Source organism: Homo sapiens, chromosome 14, assembly GCF_000001405.40.
Source record: "Homo sapiens chromosome 14, GRCh38.p14 Primary Assembly".
Lineage (NCBI taxonomy): Eukaryota > Metazoa > Chordata > Mammalia > Primates > Hominidae > Homo > Homo sapiens.
Window position 1 is genome coordinate 67,469,189 of NC_000014.9, and position 19,849 is coordinate 67,489,037.

Here is a 19,849-nt window from a genome sequence, read left to right on the forward strand (position 1 = left end):
GATTTAGAAAGCACACTGTCTACTCCATCCAGAAAAGCAGTGGGTGTTCTATAACCCAGCTGTGACAGGGGGCCCATGCCATTTGCGTTTAGCTGAAATTACTGAGCAACTTCAAGACAGGGTCTCACTGTCACCCAGAATACAGTGGTGCAATCATAGCTCACTGCAACCTCCAAATCCTGGGCTCACGTGATCCTCCTGATTCAGGCTCCTGAGTATCTGGAATTATAAGTGTGTGCCACCATGCCTGGCTTTTTTTTTTTTTTTTTTTTTTTTTGTAGAGATGGTGGTCTCTGTATGTTGCCCAGGCTGGTCTCAAACTCCTGGGCTCAAGTAATCCTCCTGCTTCAGCCTCTCAAAGTGCTGGGTTTACAGGTGTGAGCCACCATGCCCAGCCTGACTGAGCAACTTCTGAACCCTCCATCCTCTTCCTGGAAGGAGGAAAGTGGGCAGCGGCCTGGTGGTGGTGGTGGTGGTGGTGGTGGGAGGACAGGGAAGCTCAATGGAGCAGAGGTACATAAAGGGGGAGAGATTACTCCCTCCAAATGCACTTCTCCAACAAAACAGGGCTGCCAGGGAGGAGTGCAGAGCTGTTTTTTCGAAGCATGACTTTCAGTGTAACATCACTTTCAAAGTAAAGGGCTCTGGCCTTCCATGTCTTTGGGGGTACCCTCAGCCACCCTGCTTGGTCCCTCCTGCCTCATGAGATGTCTCAGGTCATGGCTGGTGTTTCCAGGAGGAGCTCGTCTCATGGGCAACTGCAGCCAACCTGCAGTCAACCTGGATACTGCCTGAGATCCCCCTCTGCCTGGGAGCGTGGCACCAAAGTAAGGCCTGGATCACATTATGCCACCTGAGAATTGGGGTCAGGGTGTGAATTCAGGTTACCAGAGAGTGTCAGAGTAGAGACAGCAAGAAGGATTGGCAGGGAGTGTCACTTGCCCCCTCCACAGGGCAGCCCCGCCCAGCAGCCCTCTTAGTTCAGGAGGGCATGATGCCAGGGTGCAAAGGGCCTGGCCTCCAGGAGCCCCTGAGAAAGTGGCTCCAAAAGAGGAAAAACAGATGGGCCAGAGCCAGTCCTGGAACACAAACACCAGTATATTTTATGTGCACAAATGTGAAAAGGAAGAGACAGAGGGACCAACGGAGACACAGAGCAGGCAATGGGCGCACAAACCGGTCGTGTGTCCTTCTCAAGAGCTGCCCAACTGGGAGACAGTCCCACCCACCTCAAAGGCCCTTTAGCAGAGCTGGGGCCTGCATCTCCTCCAGGTCTGGGTGGCCTCAGGGTGGAAGGCACTCTCCCTGCCATGGCTCCCCTAAGGGCTGGGCCTCTAACCTGTCTGCATCCCAGGGTGATGCCTACACAGCCCAGGGCTTCATAAATGCAGGTTCTCATGAACTGACCCACTCAGCAGCTGCCTCCCCAGGAGACCCACGCAGAGTGAGGGACCAGGACAAAAGGGCTTCATGGGGACTCCCTAGGTATTATTGCTGTGAATAAGCATAGGCCATTGTGACTCACTGGCATTGAAGAGGGGACAGGGCACATGGGATGCCTAGCAGATGTCCGAAGCAGTTCAACCATGCAGGGCAACACATTGCAATCTGTAACTCAGAGATGCTGCCATGTCTAGTGGAGAGAGGCCCAGGACACCAGAGGTTCATGAACAGCCAGCAAACACTCCCCACCAGCACCCTTAATGCTTGGCAGGGCTGGGATTATTCCAAACTTTGAGTCCCTGGCCACTAAGGGATTGGGGCCCTGATACCCAAAAAAGCAAGAATTGAAGTCTGGGCTATCCCTGGTGAGATCTGAACCTGTAGATCCCGTGGTCAGGCCATGGGTTGTTGCCTTCCTTTGCTGGAGGTTTGATGCCTTATGAGGGGCAACTGGAGAAATGGGACACCTAGATGGAGCAGAAACACAATGCTGGATGTTGCCAGGCACACAGGCATACCCCCAGGACCTCCTGCACTTGGGAAAGTATAGGACCCAGAGAGGAAATGGTGCCAGGGAATGCCCACAAGGCAACTTCTGGAGCAGCAAGACCTGGTGGGCCAATCAAGGATTTGCTCTGGCTGAGAATTATGGAGGCATCAACAAGCTGGCCACTGGACTGAGTTGTGGAATGCAAGTGTGAAGGTGGGTAGTGTGGTCTAGGGGCCCACATGGAAGGCCTGAAGGGGTGCTGGGAGACTAAGACAACATGGAGTTGGAGAGAGAACCAAGGAAACAATTGCCCAGAGAGAACGGGGAAGCCAGACAATATTCTCCTCCTGGAATTTTCTCCACCTATAGATGGAAAACAATCTACTCCCACCGGAAGCCTGATTCTCTGTAACCCCCAAAGCCCTGGAATTGGGGCCACAATAAAATCAAAAGGAGGGCTGGCCACTGCAGAAAGTAGTTCATCCCTGGATTTGAGGAGCCTGCCCAGGAAATAGGCTAGGAAATACCCTTCGTTCTGCTCTGGACGGGGCTAACTGCAGAAAATCCTGCCAAAGGCAGAGTCTGCAAGCTTTTCTCCAGACCTAGGACACAACTGTGGCCCACCCCACCACACCCTGCACCCCACCACACCCTGCACAGTATGGGCAGGGCAGCCAGCAGGGAAGAGGACATTCTCTCCACAGGTGATACCGTCACTTTGTAATGATCCATAAAAAGGGGAAGGCTAATTTCTACCTAAGAGTCCTAGTGTGGTCAAGAAGAGACCATGTACCATGGGGTGGGCCACTTTCTAACGGACCCTTCCCCTTGAGGAGTGAGAGTCAGAGCCGGAAGTAGGCTGGAGTGAGTATTTCACCTGTCCACTGCCAGCAATGGACCTGTCACAGGACAAAGTGGGGCAGGGGAACCAAGGTGCCAATGCCCATGAGTGTGGCAGGGTTAATACTGTTTAAGGAGTGAGCTCAAAGGGTCAGCCTTGCTGGGAGGAGTTTGGGGAGAGGGGCAGCCCTGAGGTTCTGCTACCAGGGCTGAGGCTCTGGCAGAACCAGAACTGATACCCTCCCACAAAGGAGGCTCCAAGGAGCCTTCCACAGCTGCAAGGTCCTCCTCTCTTTCTTCCTCTCATTCTCCATCAGTCTCCAATGCTGGATACCTGGCTTCTCCATCCCATAGAAAGCTAGACTGCTCAGTTTTGGCTTGAAAATAAACCAGGCAGGGAATAGATGACCTAGAACTCTGGCTTTTCCCCACCAAACTGACTTGCCTCTAGGTCCCCACTGTGGATCCACAGGGCCTAACCCAGCCTGCCTGTGCATTGGAGGGCATCATTTGTTCTCAGCTGAGCCACTGAGAAGGGAGCACTGCCACAGCCCACTAGACCGGGGGTAGGGAGGTGTAACTCAGGAACTCCCCAGGCATCAGGCCAGCCGGAACAGTGGAGGGAAGGGCTGCAAGGGGGTGAGGGTTGGGGGTGTCTCAGGGCTTCATCTCCGGCAGCTCCTGTGCTGGCTAGGGAGCTGGGGTGGGGCAGGTGTGGCGACCGACGTGGATAAAGAGCCGCTAGTGGTAAAGGCTTTGAAAACAAGACAGAAAAGGGGGAAACGCCACCGAACACACGGGGATTGAAACCTCCAAAAGCCCAAGGTTGGTGGGAATCCAGCACCACGGGGGCCCCAGAAGGCCAAGGGAGCAGCGCAGGGCCCTGGGGGAGGGGAGAGGAGCCAAGGGAGGGTCTCCCAGCCCTTGCAGACCAGCGTTGCTGCCACGCAGCCTCCTGGCTGCCCAGTCTCTCCTCGGCTGCAGCTCAGCAGGCCCCTGGGGAGGTATTGGTTGCAAGCAAGCACCTGAATATTGCCTAATGGAACCAGCCAAAGCTCAACTAAATCCAGATCGGAGGGAGGGAGGTCAGGCCTTGCCTCCCACCTGCGGCCCCATTCTCATTGTCCCTTGGCCAGGACAGGGCCTGCTGCTTCCAAAGTCAACTACATAGTCCATCGCTGCTCAGCCACAGGCCTCCTGGTACCAACCCCTGAACTGGGCCGCGATCCATGGACCCTTCCCAATGTCCCTCTGCTGCCTCCACACCCCATCCCCCAACACCTGACCACGGCCCCCCAACACCGGCCCCCGCGGACGTTAGGGGGCTCTGTGTGCCCTATAGGGCTGAGGCTTGGCCGGAGCAGGGCTTTTGCTGCATGGATGGGGCAACCTCACCAGCTTGGTCTCTTTGTCCATGAGTTCCATGAGAGATCCCCAGGCCCCCCACCCGCTTCCTGCTCAGTCAGTCTTGACATGGCCGTTGGCCAGGGCTAGGGCGCCGCTGGGCTCCCCGGGCTCAGCGTCCTTGTCGAAGCGGAGGCGGAGGGTGTTGCGGATGATGAACTGCTCCATGATGAGGGCCCCGCAGAACCAGGGCACGGCGTACTCCAGGGTGATGAGGCCCATGAAGTCAAAGTCGAACTGGGAGTAGTCCCAGGGGCAGGCGTTGAACTGGCGCAGGATGAAGCCGGTGGTGAACTCCCACAGGTAGGTCCAGAGCGTGTAGATGAGGCAGCGCAGGAGCAGCGGGCAGCGGCCGCGCAGCCGCAGGTACATGCGCTCCACGATGAGGATGGAGGTGCCGTAGATGAAGAGGGCCCACACGCTCGTGACCCCAGGGAACTTCCAGTTCAAGTTCACCACGAACTCCCAGGCCGCTGTGAACATCACCTCGCAGAAGTAGCCGTGGATGGCATACAGGTACCAGCGGGACAGCGCCGTCAGGGGCTCGGCAGACGCCATGGCGCCGACTGGGGCTGGCTGCGGGGGGCGCAAGAGAGACAGGTGAGGGCCGGGCGCGGTGGCTCACGCCTATAATCCCTGCGCTTTGGGAGGCCGAGGCGGCGGATCACTTGAGGTCAGGAGTTCCAAACCAGCCTGGCCATCATGGTGAAACCCCGTCTCTACTAAAAATACAAAAATTAGCCTGGCGTGGTGGCCCGCTCCTGTAATCCCAGCTACTTGGGAAGCTGAGGCAGAAGAATCGCTTGAACCCGCAAGGCAGAGGTTGGAGTGAGCCAAGATTGCGCCACTGCACTCCAGCCTGGGAGACAGAGTGAGACTCTGTCTCCAAAAAAACAAAACAAAAAAAAAACAGAGCAAAGAACAGAATAACCCACCCACCCCACTGACTTCTCTGCAACTCTACCCAAATGCTACTTAGAGGGAGGTGTCTGTACTCCCTAGAGCTTTTTTGGATTATCTGTGGTCAGTTGAAGAGTCGGCTGGCCTGCTGCACCAATCAGCCCCATTTCTAGACTACTTGCTGATTTCTCAGCAGGCCTATCCACTGGGGACCCCATTTCTTCCTCCACTTCTTCTCAAACAGTTCCATGTCACTCATATTTCTGAGATGTAAGTGACTCATCACATTTGTCCTTGTGTGTGTGCATGCCATTTTTTAACCATGTGTAAGTGTACAATTCAGTGGTCTTAAGTACATTCACATTGTTGTGCAACTGTCACCACCAACCATCTCCAGAACTTTTTCATTGTCCCAAACAGAAACTTTGTATCCATTAAATACAAACTCCCATTCCCCATACCCTCAGCCCCTGGCAACCACTATTCTATTTTCTGTCTCTATGAATTTGACTACTCTGGGTGCCTCATATAAGTGGAATCATACAAACACTGTCCTTTTGTGACTGGCTTAGCATAACTGGCTTAGCTTTCACTTAGCCTAATGTCTTTAAGGTTCATCCATGTTGCAGCACATGTCAGAATTTCCTTCTTTTTTTTTTTTTTTTTTTGTGACGGAGTCTCGCTCTGTCGTCCAGGCTGGAGTGCAGTGGCGCAATCTTGGCTCACTGCAACCTCCGCCTCCTGGGTTCAAGCGATTCTCCTGTCTCAGACTCCTGAGTAGCTGGGACTACAGGCACACACCATCATGCCCGGCTAATTTTTGAATTTTAGTAGAGACGAGGTTTCACCATGTTGCCCAAGCTGGTCACAAGCCCCTGAGCTCAGGTGATCCGCCCGCCTTGGCCTCCCAAAGTGCTAGGATTACAGGCGTGAGCCACTGTGCCCAGCCAGAATTTCCTTCCTTTTAAAGGCGGAATCATATTCCATTGTATATATCACCATATTTTGTTTATCCATTCATCCATTGATGGACACCTGGGTTGCTTCTACCTTTTGGCTACTCAAAATAAGGCTGCTATGAACACGGGTGTACAAAGGTCTGTCTGAGTCCCTGCTCTCAACTCTTTCAAGTACATATGCAGAAGTGGAAATACTGGATCATATGGTAATTCTATGGTTAACTTTCTGAGGAACCACTGTGCTGTTTTCCACAGTGGCCACACCATTTTACATTCCCCATCAGCAATGTACAAGGGTTCCAATTTCTCCACATCCACCCCAAACACTTGTTATTTTCTGTTTTGTTTTTATAATGGCCATCCTAATGGGTGTGAGGTGGTTCTCTCATTGTGGTCACATTTGTCTTTGCTCCATTAAATGGGGTTTTGGTGTTTGGTTTCAGTGCTGAGGGGAAACCAATGGATTGACACAGGAAAGAGTCCTCCCCAGTCCTTCTGGCTCCTTTCCCCTCCCCTCTTTTAAACCCCACCAGTCTTCAACGCCCGGCTCCCATGCTGCTTCTCTCTACTTTCTCCTCACCCTCCACCAGCGACTGTCTGCACCACTTACCTGGCCCATTATCAGGTGCCACCCCAATGGCTTTTTGAGGTATGTGCTCTCATGATCCAACTAGCATGTGAACTCCTTGAGGATAGTGACTGTTGCACAGGCCAGTGCTTTGTGGCCTTGACGCAGGCCCGTCCTGGGCAGGCCCTCTCTAAATGACATGTCCTGTTCATGTGGAGGGAGGTGTGGGACTGCATCAAGAATGGGAAGGTAGGGCTTGAGAACATAAATCCCAGCTCTGCCAGCTGCTAATGGCTTCACATCTCTGTCGATCCCCTCTCCAAGGTGGGAGAAAAGACAGAGGTTAAGGAAATGGCATCTGTAGTATGCACACCTGTCTGGGAATTCCAGCCTCACATTTCAGCTGAAGCAGGCCTGGTCACATTAATACCTACCCAGCCTTGTGCATTGCTCTGTGGTCTTCCAAGCACTTCGTTCGCATTTTGTCATGGTTCTTACATAATTAAAATTCAGGCTGGGCGCAGTGGCTCACACCTGTAATCCCAGAACTGTGAGAGGCTGAGGCGGGTGGATCACCTGAGGTCAGGAGTTTGAGAACAACCTGGCCGACATGGTGAAACCCTGTCTCTACTAAAAATACAAAAATTAGCTGGGTGTGGTGGCATGCACCTGTAGTCTCAGCTACTTGGGAGGCTGAGGCAGAAAAATTGCTTGAACCCAGGAGGCGGAGGTTGCAGTGAGCCAAGATCATGCCACTGCACTCCAGCCTGGGCAACAGAGCAAGACTTCCTCTCCAAAAAATATATTTATAAATAAAATAAAAAAGATTCATGTGAAGGTCAGAAAATTTTACTCCCATTTTTTTGCAGTGAGACAGAGCTCAGAGAGGGGACATTATTTACCCCATATCCCAGGGCCAGTAAATGGAAGAGCTGAGATTAGAACCAATATCTCTTGCTTTCTACTGCAGAACTCATCCCCTGCACATGACTGCCCATCTCTTAGACATACGTACCAAATGTCTCTCCCCTGCTCAAAAATGCTCGATAGTGGCTGGGCACAGTGGCTCACGCCTGTAATCCCAGCACTTTGGGAGGCGGAGATGGGCAGATCACCTGAGGTCAGGAGTTCAAGACCAGCCTGACCAAAATGATGAAACCCTGTCTCTACTAAAAATACAAAAAAACAATGGATGGGTAGGTATTAATGTGACCAGGCCTGCTTCAGCTGAAATGTGGTGGCATGCGCCTATAATCCCAGCTACTTAGGAGGCTGAGACAGGAGAACCGCTTGAACCTGGGAGGTGGAGGTTGCAGTGAGTCGCGATCGCACCATTGCACTCCAGCCTGGACAACAAGAGCGAAACTCCATCTCAAAAAAAAAAAAAAAATGTTCGATATCTCCTTATTTCCTAATGAAACACAACAGCATCCTTGGCCTGCCATTCAAGATTCTTCATGACCTTGCCCCGATTGACATCTTCAGCCTTTTCCTCACAATCCAGCTCTTCCTGTCTTTCATCTCCATGCCTTTGCAGGTCCTATTCATTCTGTTAGGCGTGCCTTTCTCCTCTCACTTCCATGAGTATAAACCAGCTTGCAGGTTACCTTCAGAACAAAATCTCTTTCATTCCCCCAGGTCCCAAGGCTTCTCTTCCTCTTCTGAATTTCTACAGCACTTACTCTGTCTCACTCCCTTTGCTACAGGTTATTTTCAATATTATATTGAGAATTTCTGTCCCCGGCCAGACCTCTTTCCTGTGTGCTACACCTATAGCTCCTGCCCTTCCCTAGACAGCTCCCCCTAATGTCCCACAGGCATCCCAAACTCCTTTCCTAAATCAAACCCATGGGCAGGTGTGGTGGCTTATGCCTGTAATCCTAGCACTTTGGGAGGCAGAGGCAGAAGGATCGCTCGAGCCCAGAACTCTTGAATTCAAGACTAGCCTAGACAATGCAGTGAGACTCTGTCTCTAAAAAATAAATAAATAAAATCAAACCCATTATCTTTTCCCCAAAACCTGTTTCTCTCCTAAGACCCCCACCCCAATTAATGGCACCACCATGCACCCAGTTAGAACCAGCGGTCTCAAAGTCTGTCTGGCTTCCTCTGCCACATCCCCACCCTAACATGAGTTCCTGAGAGTGAGGGCCTTGCCTGCCTGGTTCAGCATAGTATTCCCAGTGCCTGGCACAAAGCCCAGCACATAGTAAGCATTCAAGAGAAGAATAAAGACATTTCTTAGTTAGCAATCGCCATATAACAAATCATCTCAAAAACCCTGGCCTAAAACAACTACCGTCTACTATTACAGCTCACATGTCTGTGGTTGGCAGACGGCTGGGGCAGCGTAGCTCCACTCCACCTGTCTCTCATCCTCCTCCGGGGCCCAGTGGACTTGCCTGGGCATATTCTTCTCATGGCAAGGGCAGAGGCACAAAGCTGAGCAAGGCTAGCTGTACAAGTGTGGTTCAAGACCCTGGCTAAGCCATGCCCACCATCATCCCACTGGCCAAGGGAAAGCCACCAAGTCAGCTACTAACTCCCACCCTTACCACCTCTTAAATATCTTTGGGATCCATCCCCTCCTCTTCATTACTCTTCTCATTGCTGCCACTGCTCTGGTTCACGCCCTCATCATGTCTCACCTGGATGACTCCAAAGGTCTCCCAGCTTTGCCTTCTTCCTTCTAATTCACTCATCACAGGATGAAAGAGTGTGTAGAAAAAACGCAACCTTTCTAAAATGCAAATCCGATGTTTCTCACCACTTGAAGCCCATGAGTGGATCTTCAACATCTACAGAGTAAATAAAGCTCAAACCCCTGGGGACGGCTGGCAAAGCCCTTCACAACTCGTCCCTGCCTCCAATCCTGTCCTCCAGATCTCTACCTTGCTGTTTTTGCTACCTGGGCCCCACCCAGGGCCGGTGAACCCTCCTTTAAGACCCAGCTCCTCCTCTGTGAGGACTTTCCTAAGCACCCTGACTCCAGAGTTGTCTTCCCACTTCTGCACCCTCCCTTCTCTGTGGTAATAGTGAGCACTCTGCTTCACTGGATTCATCTGAACGCCAGCACCAGCAGCCTCCTGAGGAATGCTTGTTTAAGATAGTGGTAAGAGAAAAAAGCAGGATTCAAAACTGAATATTCAACCTAACTCCGATTCTGCAAAGGCATGCATATGTGCACATATACAAAAAAATTAAACAACAATCATCTCTGGATGGTGATATCATATGTGCTTTTTTTCTTTATATTTTTCTGCATACTTTTTTTTCCTAACAAGCATGTATAACTTTTATAAAACTAAAATTTCATCTTAAAAATGCTTATGGAGGCTGGACGTGGTGGCTCACCCTGTAAACCCAGCACTTTGGGAGGCTGAGGTGGGTGGATCATGAGGTCAGGAGTTCAAGACCAGCCTGGCCAACATGGTGAAACCCTGTCTCTACTAAAAGTACAAAAATTAGCTGGGCGTGGTGGCGTGTGCCTGTAATCCCAGCTACTCGGGAGGCTGAGGCAGAAGAATTGCTTGAACCGGGACCCAGGAGGTGGAGGTAGCAGTGAGCGAGATCGTACCACTGCACTCCAGCCTGGGCTACAGAGCAAGACTCTGTCTCAAAAAAAAAAAAAAATGCTTGTGGAAGCTGGGTGCAGTAGCTCATGCCTGTAATCCCAGTACTTTGGGAGGCCGAGGTGGGTAGATCACCTGAGGTCAGGAGTTCGAGACCAGCCTGGCCAACATGGTGAAACCACATCCCTACTAAAAATACAAAAATTAGCCGGGCATGGTGGCATGCACCTGTAATCCCAGCTACTCGGGAGGCTGAGGCAGGAGAATCGCTTGAACCTGGGAGGCGGAGGTTGCCGTGAGCCGAGATAGCGCCACTGCACTCTAGCCTAGGTGACAGAGTGAGACTCCGTCTCAAAAAAGGAAAAAAAAATGCTTGTGGAATGAATATGTATTCACCGTATTCATACCTCGTGTATAGAAGGTGTTCAATGAATTTGCTAAGCAAATGAACCCAAAGAAACCTGAAGTCATGTAAAATTATTGCAGGCTCTTCCCTCCTGTGTCATCCAACAACAAACCATGCCTCACAGGTCTCAATATGGCCAGCTGGTTAAGTTCAGGGACCCCAGATGATCCTAACTGCCTGGGTTGGAATCCTGGCTGATGCTTTCCACCTGTGAGACCTAATGGACGCTGCCCAACCACCCTGTGCCTCAGGGTCCTTGTAGGTAAAGTGAGGATAACGGAAGTAATGACCACAGAAGGCTGTTGTGAGGACGAATGAACTCGTACATATACACTACTTAAAATACAGCTAAGGCTCCAGAAAGGGCAGCTGTCATTTCTGGCACAGAGCCAGACCTCTGGACAGCCCCTCCTGCTTTTACACCGCCTCTTACCCGATGCAGGGTCACTGTGCCCCTGCTCTCGGCAGCCTCCAGGCAGCCCTTCCTGTCAAGCAGGTTAGGTCTTCATCACAACCCTGAGCACCAAGCTAGCGAGCCAAGAAATCGGGTGGCAATAATAACCCCACATATGGCCCTCAGGAGAACAAAACTCCCACAGACATCCCGGGAGACTGAAGGTGAGCCTCCAGCTTCCCTGTGGCTACCGAGGGATGAATGGAAGAGGAAGGGTGTCAGAGCCAGCCCGAGGGGCAGACTTGAAAAGATGGTGGAATGAAAGGGGCACAGCCTCTCACCCCCTCATTTAACCTCCTACCCCCGGGCAGGAGAGAACAGATCCAGGCTCCAGGGGAACACACTGAGGCGGTCTGAGGGCCTGAGACAGATGGCACAGCACAGGGATGTGGAGACCTCTGGACCTCCTACCCCAACTCAGGCCCCATGACCTGCACGTATCCCCCTGGCTCTTCCAACCCCCAGGGCCCGGGCTGAGGGAACAGGAACCTCACAGGGGCTCTCCTGCAGCAGCCTGACATGACTGTGTGGATCTCATTACTCAGGCCAGACCCCAGCCTTGAAGCTGACTTTAAACCCTGCTCTTCTTGCCTCTGATCTCTCTGGGATGGCCCAGACCGGTTTCCCAGCTGGTAACAGACGGGAGGGTCCAGTCTCTTCCCCAACCCCAGCAAGTAACTTGGGAGAGTCAGATCCCAAAACCCTTGGAGCAGAAGCAAGAAGAAAGGGGTAGCTGTCAAAGGGAGAGAGAAACCTAGGGTGAGAGACAGGAAGTTGCTGAACAGAAGAGAGGATGGAGTTCATGCCTGCAGTCCCAGCACTTTTGGAGGCTGAGGTGGGAGAATAGCTTGAGGCCAGGAGTTCGAGACCAGCCTGGGCAACATAGCGAGACCACCATCTCTACAAAAAGAAAAAAAAGTAGGCTGGTTTGATGTGGTGTGCCTGTAGTCCCAGACGCTAAGGCAGGAGGATCCCTTGAGTTCAAGAGTTTGAGGCTACAGTGAGCTATGATTGTGCCACTGCACTCCAGCATGGACAATGAGCAAGACCCTGTCTCTTAAAAAAGAAAGAAAGAAAGAAAAACAAAAAAGCGAGATGGGGGAGAGAGAAATATGGTGTGCCCCAAGCCCAGATTCTGTTTCTGGGCAGCAGGAAGCCATGGGTAGTAGATGGAGGGGAAGCACACCACGGCAATGTCAGACAGTGTCCGAGGGCAGAACTAGGAGAACATAGCTGGTCCATGCAAGACCAACAGGGGAAATGAAAGACCTGAGTCAGGGCAGAAGATGGGGTTGAAGAGAAAGGAATAGGAGACAGTGTCATTGGCTGAGGTGGCAGCTCCCAGTGTGGTGGGGAAGATGATAATATTAGAGGCTGGGCATTGACTTGGATGCGTTTTCAGAACCCCACTCTCCAAACCCATTTCTAATCAGCACAGGAGCTGTGCTTAACTTTGAGCTAGGACAGGCTCGCCCACCCCATACAGGGCCTGACAGGCCTCTATTCCCTGCCCCGGCCTCCACCCACCCGACTCCCTATATCCTTAGGCTCCTTCCACTAGCTCCTTGCTCAGCCCTGGGATCAGAGCCCTGGGAAAGCCTGCTGCAGGGAGAACCGGCAGCTCAGGGGACCTTGGCTTCTTTCTCCTGGTGACAAACAAAACTGTCCTGAGACCTGTGACATGAAGATAGGACAGCCCAGGAACAGAAATTCAGGGTGGATTGAAGAGGAGGAGAGTGTGAGCAAGGTTGAATGCAGGAGGACAGAGTTTGGAGAGCAAAGGATAGCTTCACAAGCAGGGTTTCATTGAACAACATTCAAATCCGAGAGTCCTCATACCTGATGAAAGGGCCTGGGCAAACAGAGTCCCATCGAAGGGCCAGGACTCAAGGTGACTTGTGAGGTCTAGGAACTACCCCTTCAAGGGAACAGGTGATGGGGAAGGGGAAGGGGATCTGGCTTTCAGAGCCCTGTTCACTAAGAGCATCTCACCGGCTGCTCTCCGAGCCTGCTGTTCCACAGGGTGGCAGGGGACATGGCCAGCAGTTGAGAGGGGTAAAGAGGCTGCCATAAAAGTCTAAGACAGGCTGAAGGCAAAACCAGATGGAATAACTGCCCTTGGTTTTGTCAAAAACTCCCATCTTGTTTCAGGGGGCTAAGGTGCCACAACACAGTGACTCTGGGAATTTTTGTCCAGAGAAGCATCTGGCCAGAAAATTGGGATTCCCCTCCCATGCAACCGGGCTGGGAAGGCCTTCCGCTTTCACTCCACTCACTTCCCAAGCTTCACTCCCCATCCCCAGCCACCCCCATCACTACAGTTCCATGTTCTGGGGAGACCCACAGCCCTTCTAGGAGACCCCTGAGGCAACGCAGCGGGGGACAGCTTCAGGAGCCCTTGGGCGGCTCTGTGCTGAAGATAAGTGGCTTCAATGAGGAAAGGGCAGAAACCTCCCTGAACTTCCCCTGTTGTCATCAAGTTAGCAGGGAGGAAAATAGGGCTTGCCCAGGGCCAGAAGGGAAGCAAGTGGAGGGAAACTCCTGTAGCCACTGGCTGGTGCACATGCTGCAGACTTCCACCCTCTTGCTGTGGGTGCCCCCCAAGGAAAGCCCCTGGGATTAGTGATACTGCAGGCCTTGATGAAGTCCTCCCTCCACCTCCCAAGTCACAGTAATAATAATAACCAGGTGCTCTTCTCAGTATTTCCATGTATTAACTCAAAAAATTCTCAAGCCCATTTTACAGATGGGGAAAGTGAGGCAGAAAGAGGCTACGTTCTTTTTTTGTTTGTTTTTTGTTTTTTTAGATGGAGTCTCACTTTGTCACCCAGGCTGTAGTGCAGTGGTGTGAACTTGGCTCACTGCAACCTCTGTCGCCCGGGTTCAAGCAATTCTCATGCCTCAGCCTCCCAAGAGGCTGGGATTATAGGTTCCTGCCACCACACCCAGCTAATTTTTGTATTTTTAGTAAAGACGAGGTTTCACCATGTTGGCCAGGCTGGTCTTGAACTCCTGACCTCAAGTGATCTGCCTGCCTCGGCCTCCCAAAGTGCTGGGATTATAGGCACGAGTCACCACACCTGGCCGAGCCTACATTCTAATAACTATAAAAGGCAAGGCTGGGATTCAAACCCCACAAATCTGGTTCCAGAGTCTTTGCTCCTAATCAGCACACTGCACTGCCCCCGAGGCTGACTGCAGGCTCCTCTGAGGGCACTACCATTTTCTGAGTTCCTGCTTCTGGAAGGCTGGGATGGTATGTGGAGAGACAACAGGAAGCAAGGAGAAGGTTGTGAACTTCTAGGTGGTTCATTAACAAACTTCCCAACTGGGTGTCAGAGTTCCTAAAGGCTCCCAGCCTGTTCCTCGGGATCCACACAGAGGCCCTCCAGGGTCAAAGCTGACAGTCACAGGACCATGACAGCAACCAACCCTCAGGCCCCAAGGCATGCGCCATTCAAAGGCCCCTCACCAGGACACACACAACCCAGAGGCCCCCTGACTGCCAGCCCACACCAGTGCTCCTGGGAGTCTCAGATGGCCCGGCCCAGCCCTGCCATGGAGACACCAGCCAAGAGCAGGGGCCAGCTGCCCAGAGGAGCAACAGCCAGCATGTCAGGAGGAGCGGTCCGAACACAGAGGATTTCAGGGGGCCTCAGATCCCAAGCAAACCGCAGCAGGAGGCAGGGCAGGGTGAGTGGGCTTGGGGGATGGAGTCAGTTCTGGCACAGAGGTCCCTGGGGCTCAGAAAGCGAAGGATGCCCTGCACGGGGGACTGGCAGGCTGGCATCCCAGACCTGTATGTGGCTGCCTTGCTGTTACCATTCAGATCTCAGCTGAGCTGTCATATCTCAGGGACTTTTGATCCCCAGTCCAAAATAGCCTCTCTGTCACTCACATCATTCCATTTTATTTTCTACATAGCACTTTCACTTTCTGATATGTTGCTACTTATTTATGGTCTGTCTCTCCTCAACTAGAATGAAAACTTCATGAGAGCAGGGGCACTGTCTTGTTCACTGCTGTTTAGTCAGTGCCTAGAGTGGTGCCTGGCAATAATACCTAGTAATACTTGTGGAATGAATGGATGGATGAGTGGGCCCAAACAGGCCCAGGCCCTTAAACACTGATGAGGGCAGGTATAAACAGCTAGCTGCCTCGGTCTCTCTTCCCTCCTTTCTTGAGAAATATAGCCTTCTAAAACATTTAATTCTAGCATTTAATTTTTTTTCTAATTATAAAAGCAACATGTGCTCACAGCTGAAATTTAAACATTACAGAATGACATAGAAAGCAAAAGTTCCCTGTAATCACACATCTTAGAGAAAGTCACTATTAATGGTATGTTGTGTAGTCATCCGGATTCAATTTTATTTTTTAAAAAGCCAATCCATGCATCATAGAAGAAGCATTCATAGGCCGGGCATGGGGGCTCACACCTGTAATCCCAGCATTTTGGGAGGCTGAGGCGGGAGGACTGCTTGAGCCCAGGAGTTTGAGACCAGCCTGGGCAACATAGTGAGACCTCATTTCTAATAAAGAAAAAAAAAGAAAAAGCACTCATAATTCTGAACTAACAGCGATTACCATTTCTCCTTTGCAATATTTTCCTATGTGTGTATTTTACAAGTCACCATAATATACTTATTCTGCAACCTGCCATTTTTACTTGTCATAACTGTTTTTCCAAGTTGTTATATAGCCTCTGTGCTCATTATTATAATGGCTGTGTAATATTCCAGCAAGCGGAAAACTGTAATTTACTTAACCTAGATGTCCAAAGGGAACAGTTGTTTCCCATTTCTACTACTACAGATGATATAACGAGAATTACCTTTAATGCCTGTAATGGAAGAATTCAGCCCTTTTCTTCTCTGGTACTATTTCCTAATAATATATCTTAATGGATAATTCCAGAAGGAGAATCACTGAACCAAACGGTACAACAGCCTTAAGGCTGATGGCATAAATTGCTCTGGGGAGATGTGCCTCCCATCTGAGGAACGACGTTCCCACAGAGGCACCCATGGCCATCTCTTTACCCCCAACTCCCCTCCTACAGTCTAGGCTTGCTCACACCACCCTGGCTACAAATCAACTCAAGAACACACTTCCTGAGAAACTCTCCAGTCAAACTGACTTTGTAAGCCCAGGCTGAGTGGAAAACAGATTCTGGCCCTGAATTATAAACTGTCAACTAGGAGAGTCAAGATCTACCTAAAGTGGAAAAAGACCTGATTACCCCTTTTCTACTCCCTGCAAATTCCTGCATGGAATCTGAAGCTCTGGGTTCCCATGGACCAGCCTAGGAACTCCAAAAAAAGCTTGTCTGTTCAAGATTGCAAAAGCCCAGCTCTGCCTGCCATGCCTTCTGGGGAGCTTCCTTCCTGCAGGCCTCTGATCCCACCAGGCTACGGGCCCTGCACAGACATAACAGCCTTCAGGCCAGACAGGCCTCTGGGGGTTGGGAAAGCAGCCAATTGTCATTTTTTAAGGCATCATCAAGGAAAAGCCAGGGGCTGAGGCTGGAAAGAAAGGCCTGTGAGGACAGGCAGGGCTGTGCAGTTAGGAGCCTCTCACCCTACCTCGAGCTTGTCTCGCTGAGGAGGAGATGCTGCTGCTGATATGTGACAAAAGCAAGAGGACATGCTCCTCCAGATCCCCTGGTGGTCACTCTTATGGCAGCTAAGGCTCACAAATCCCCCCACCTCCCAGGGCCCTGGATGCCCTACTCCAGGCCTCCTAGACCAGCAGCACATGCATTGCTCATGGCTTCTGGGCAGAGTCCAGTCCCAGGTGATGCATGGTCCTCACTGCACAGATCTGAAGCCTGACGGCCAAAGTAGATGCTGTTTCCCAGGTGTGAGTGCTCGCTTCACTCACGCCAGACAATCTGAATGATATGGTTTGGCTGTGTCCTCACCCAAATCTCATCTTGAATTTCCACCATGTTGTGGGAGGAACTGGGTGGGAGGTAATTGAATCATGGGGCCAGGTCTTTCTCATGCTGTTCTTGTGATAGTGAATAAATCTCATGAGATCTGATGGGTTTTTGTTTTGTTTTGTTTTGAGACAGAGTCTTGCTCTGTTGCCAGGCTGGGGTGCAATGGCACGATCTTGGCTCACTGCAACCTCTGCCTCCCAGGTTCAAGCGATTCTCCTGCCTCAGCCTCCTGAATAGCTGGGACCACAGGTGCATGCCACAATGCCCAGCTAATTTTTGTATTTTTAGTACAGATGGGGTTTCACCATGTTGGCCAGGATGGTCTCAATCTGTTGACCTTGCGATCCACCCACCTCGGCCTCCCAAAGTGCTGGGATTACAGGCGTGAGCCACAGTGCCCGGCTGATCTGATGGTTTTATAAGGGAGAGTTTCCCTGCACAAGCTCTCTTTCTGCTTGCTACCAACCTTGTAATATGTGACTTGCTTCCCCTTGCCTTCCACCATGATTGTGAGGCTTCCCCAGACACGTGGAATTAACCCTCTTTTTCTGTATACATTTTCCACTCTTACGTATGTCTTTATCAGCAGCACGAAAACAAACTAATACACTGGGTCTGGCCTGGATTTTAGAGGCCATGTGGCCATAAGACGGCTCCCGCATGTGATGGCCCAATATTGCTTGACATTCCCCTCCCATTGCCCTGTGACAGGACCTTGGATGGGGAACAGACTCAGAACTAGAACCTCCAGACTCGTGCCCATGCTGATGAGGTGCCGAGCAGGCAGGATCGCTGGGCTGGTGATCCCCTGGGTGCTTGTAACATACTCACTTATCACACCCTTGAGTGTGCAGCTCACAACAGACATCAGGATCACTGTCCAGGAGTGTCCTGGGTTAACCTTTGTTGGCTGGGCCTCAGTGCCATTCTCAGCAACGTAGGCAAGCATCAGCCCTAGGGCTCAGCTGATCCTTGGCTGGGGGGCTGGCAGCTTCCATGTGTCCCTGGGAATAAAAGAGGAGGCTTTTATTAGCTTAAACTGCCCCCAGCAGATCCAAGAAAAACATTGCAAGGGCCTGGGCTCTGGGCTCAGCACCAGACACTCATCCCACCCTGGCCACCAGGGCCCCTTCCCGGAACCTACCCCCTCCTCTTTGCATCCAGTTTGCTCAGGTCTGATTAATCCAGCCACAAAAGTCTGGGATGGTCCTGGACAATCCACATGTCCAGGGTTAGGACTTAGGGCTTCTTGCCTAAATGTGTGAACACTTGTGAATCTGAGAGGGGATATAATTTTAGAATCCAGCTCCATTCTCATTCAGCTTCAAATTACATTCTCACCTTCACCCTGTAGTGGGTACATCTGTTCTCAAGGGCGGTCAGAACCTCATGGAAGGCAGACAATGTAGGACATTCGTTTCAGCACTTTGAAAGCAGAGAACAACCACTCGTGCAGAAAAACAAAATGTGTGCTAAACCTTTCTACGTACTATTCTACCTCTCTAATATTTATTCATCTCATTTTATTATTTCACCATTATTATGGTTGAGGCCCTTCCTATGAACATCAGTAACCAGCTACAAGCTAATACAAATCTTACTTTATAATGCCCTTTGCCATGTACTTTAAAAAAAAAAATCAAGTAGAGACGGGTCTTGCTATGTTGACCAGGCTGGTCTCAAGCTCTTGGCCAACCCTCCCACCTCAGCCTCCCAAAGTGCTAGGATTATAGGCGTGAGCCACTGTGCCTGGCCAGCCATGTACAGCCATGTTTTTACTACTATCCCTAAGACTTGACTATTTAATGGAGATTCCAACATTTTTTGTTTTAATATGAAAGTGCTAAAGCTTCCCTGAAAACCCCCTGGATACAACACCATCTGCATATGCCCAAGGACAGCACTCAGGCCCAGCATGGCCCTCTGGGACAGCCCAGCCACTCAGAAGCTGAGAACAGTATGTGGCTGGGGGTGGGAGCTGGCACTCCCCTGTGGATGACCAGGCAGGATGGACCAGAGGTGCTGGTCTGTGCTGATGCCCATGTCCACCTTCCCCACTCCCCTCTGACCACCAGGGTCTCTGAGTAGAGGCCGCTTGGGCCCTTGCTCAAGCTGACAACCTGTGAGGCAGCCAGGCAGCCGAGGAGAAGTGAAAGGGCAGGAGTGGGGGAACTGAAACTCACTGTATGGTGTGGTTTTGGGGGGTGCCCCCCTGGGTCTCCCCCCGGGGCCTCTGCACTGAGAGCATCACAGTGGGCTGCTGTGCTCAGCCTTGCCTCCCCCTCCCCAGCTCCTTCACAAACGGGACCCTCCAACCCTCCCTGATCTGTCCATCTTACCGGCTTCTTCCAGCCTGCCGGATGGCGGACAGGGGTCACCTTGACACGTACCTATCACCTTGAGGAAAAGGTTTTAACGGAGCATGTCCGAACCCTCTGGGACTCTCTCTCCACCAGCACCACAAGGACCATGTGCCTGGGGAGTTCAATCCCACCTGTGGAGACTTCTCCCCACCCTAGGCCCTCAGCCACATCCACGGCACAAGTCAGAACTAAAACAGAAACAGAAACCAAAGACCACATCCTGCCGGCACAGCCTGCGGGTTACTGCAGCCAGCTCTGGGAGCCCACTGCCTGCTGAGGTGCAGCCCTGGCAGATGAAGCCCCAGCACTCAGAAAGGCTCCTTTTGAGGGCAGTGTCCCACCAGACACCTCCCACTTCCTGGTCTGCAGGCTTTTTCCCCAGGAAAAACTTAGTTGCAGGGAGGATGAGATGATGGTGCACCTCTCCCTCCAAGTGCATAAGCTGTCCCTAGGCCTCACTGACACTCCCTATCCCCCAAGAGTAGATCCCAGGGGACAGGGGACAT

General features: G+C 51.6%; 2 protein-coding genes across 13 annotated transcripts in view, besides 4 other annotated features; one reads left to right on the plus strand and one right to left on the minus strand.

Annotated features, from left to right (window-relative positions):
- The window catches only part of GPHN (gephyrin), a 1,227,209-nt gene that overhangs the window by 961,042 nt on the left and 246,318 nt on the right, over positions 1-19,849 (plus strand). The window lies entirely within an intron of this gene.
- TMEM229B (transmembrane protein 229B) overlaps positions 1,081-19,849 on the minus strand; it is a 63,582-nt gene continuing 44,813 nt past the window's right edge. For 8 of the 12 annotated variants that reach the window (NM_001348546.2, NM_001348547.2, NM_001348548.2 and 5 more), the window contains 2 exons: positions 17,812-17,984; positions 1,081-4,753 (listed from right to left, as the gene is read on the minus strand). In NM_001348546.2, the coding sequence (NP_001335475.1) occupies positions 4,232-4,735 (504 nt within the window). In that variant the 5' untranslated portion in view covers positions 4,736-4,753; positions 17,812-17,984 and the 3' untranslated portion in view covers positions 1,081-4,231. Of the gene's footprint in view, positions 4,754-17,811; positions 17,985-18,124; positions 18,631-19,319; positions 19,534-19,849 lie in introns of those variants that run through there. The other 4 variants (NM_001348541.2, NM_001348542.2, NM_001348543.2 and 1 more) reach the window with 4 other exon arrangements.
- Positions 18,875-18,944: an enhancer, noted in NCBI's record as "active region_8579". NCBI's record gives its function as "activates an Ori minimal core promoter by ATAC-STARR-seq in GM12878 lymphoblastoid cells {active_cell/tissue: GM12878}" and the evidence as "EXISTENCE:reporter gene assay evidence [ECO:0000049][PMID:35858748]".
- Positions 19,108-19,607: an enhancer, noted in NCBI's record as "H3K4me1 hESC enhancer chr14:67955013-67955512 (GRCh37/hg19 assembly coordinates)". NCBI's record gives its function as "activates a minimal SCP1, AML or CMV promoter by ChIP-STARR-seq in primed H9 embryonic stem cells {active_cell/tissue: H9 hESC(primed)}" and the evidence as "EXISTENCE:reporter gene assay evidence [ECO:0000049][PMID:30033119]".
- Positions 19,108-19,664: a biological region, named in NCBI's record as "H3K4me1 hESC enhancer GRCh37_chr14:67955013-67955512".
- Positions 19,245-19,664: an enhancer, noted in NCBI's record as "active region_8580". NCBI's record gives its function as "activates an Ori minimal core promoter by ATAC-STARR-seq in GM12878 lymphoblastoid cells {active_cell/tissue: GM12878}" and the evidence as "EXISTENCE:reporter gene assay evidence [ECO:0000049][PMID:35858748]".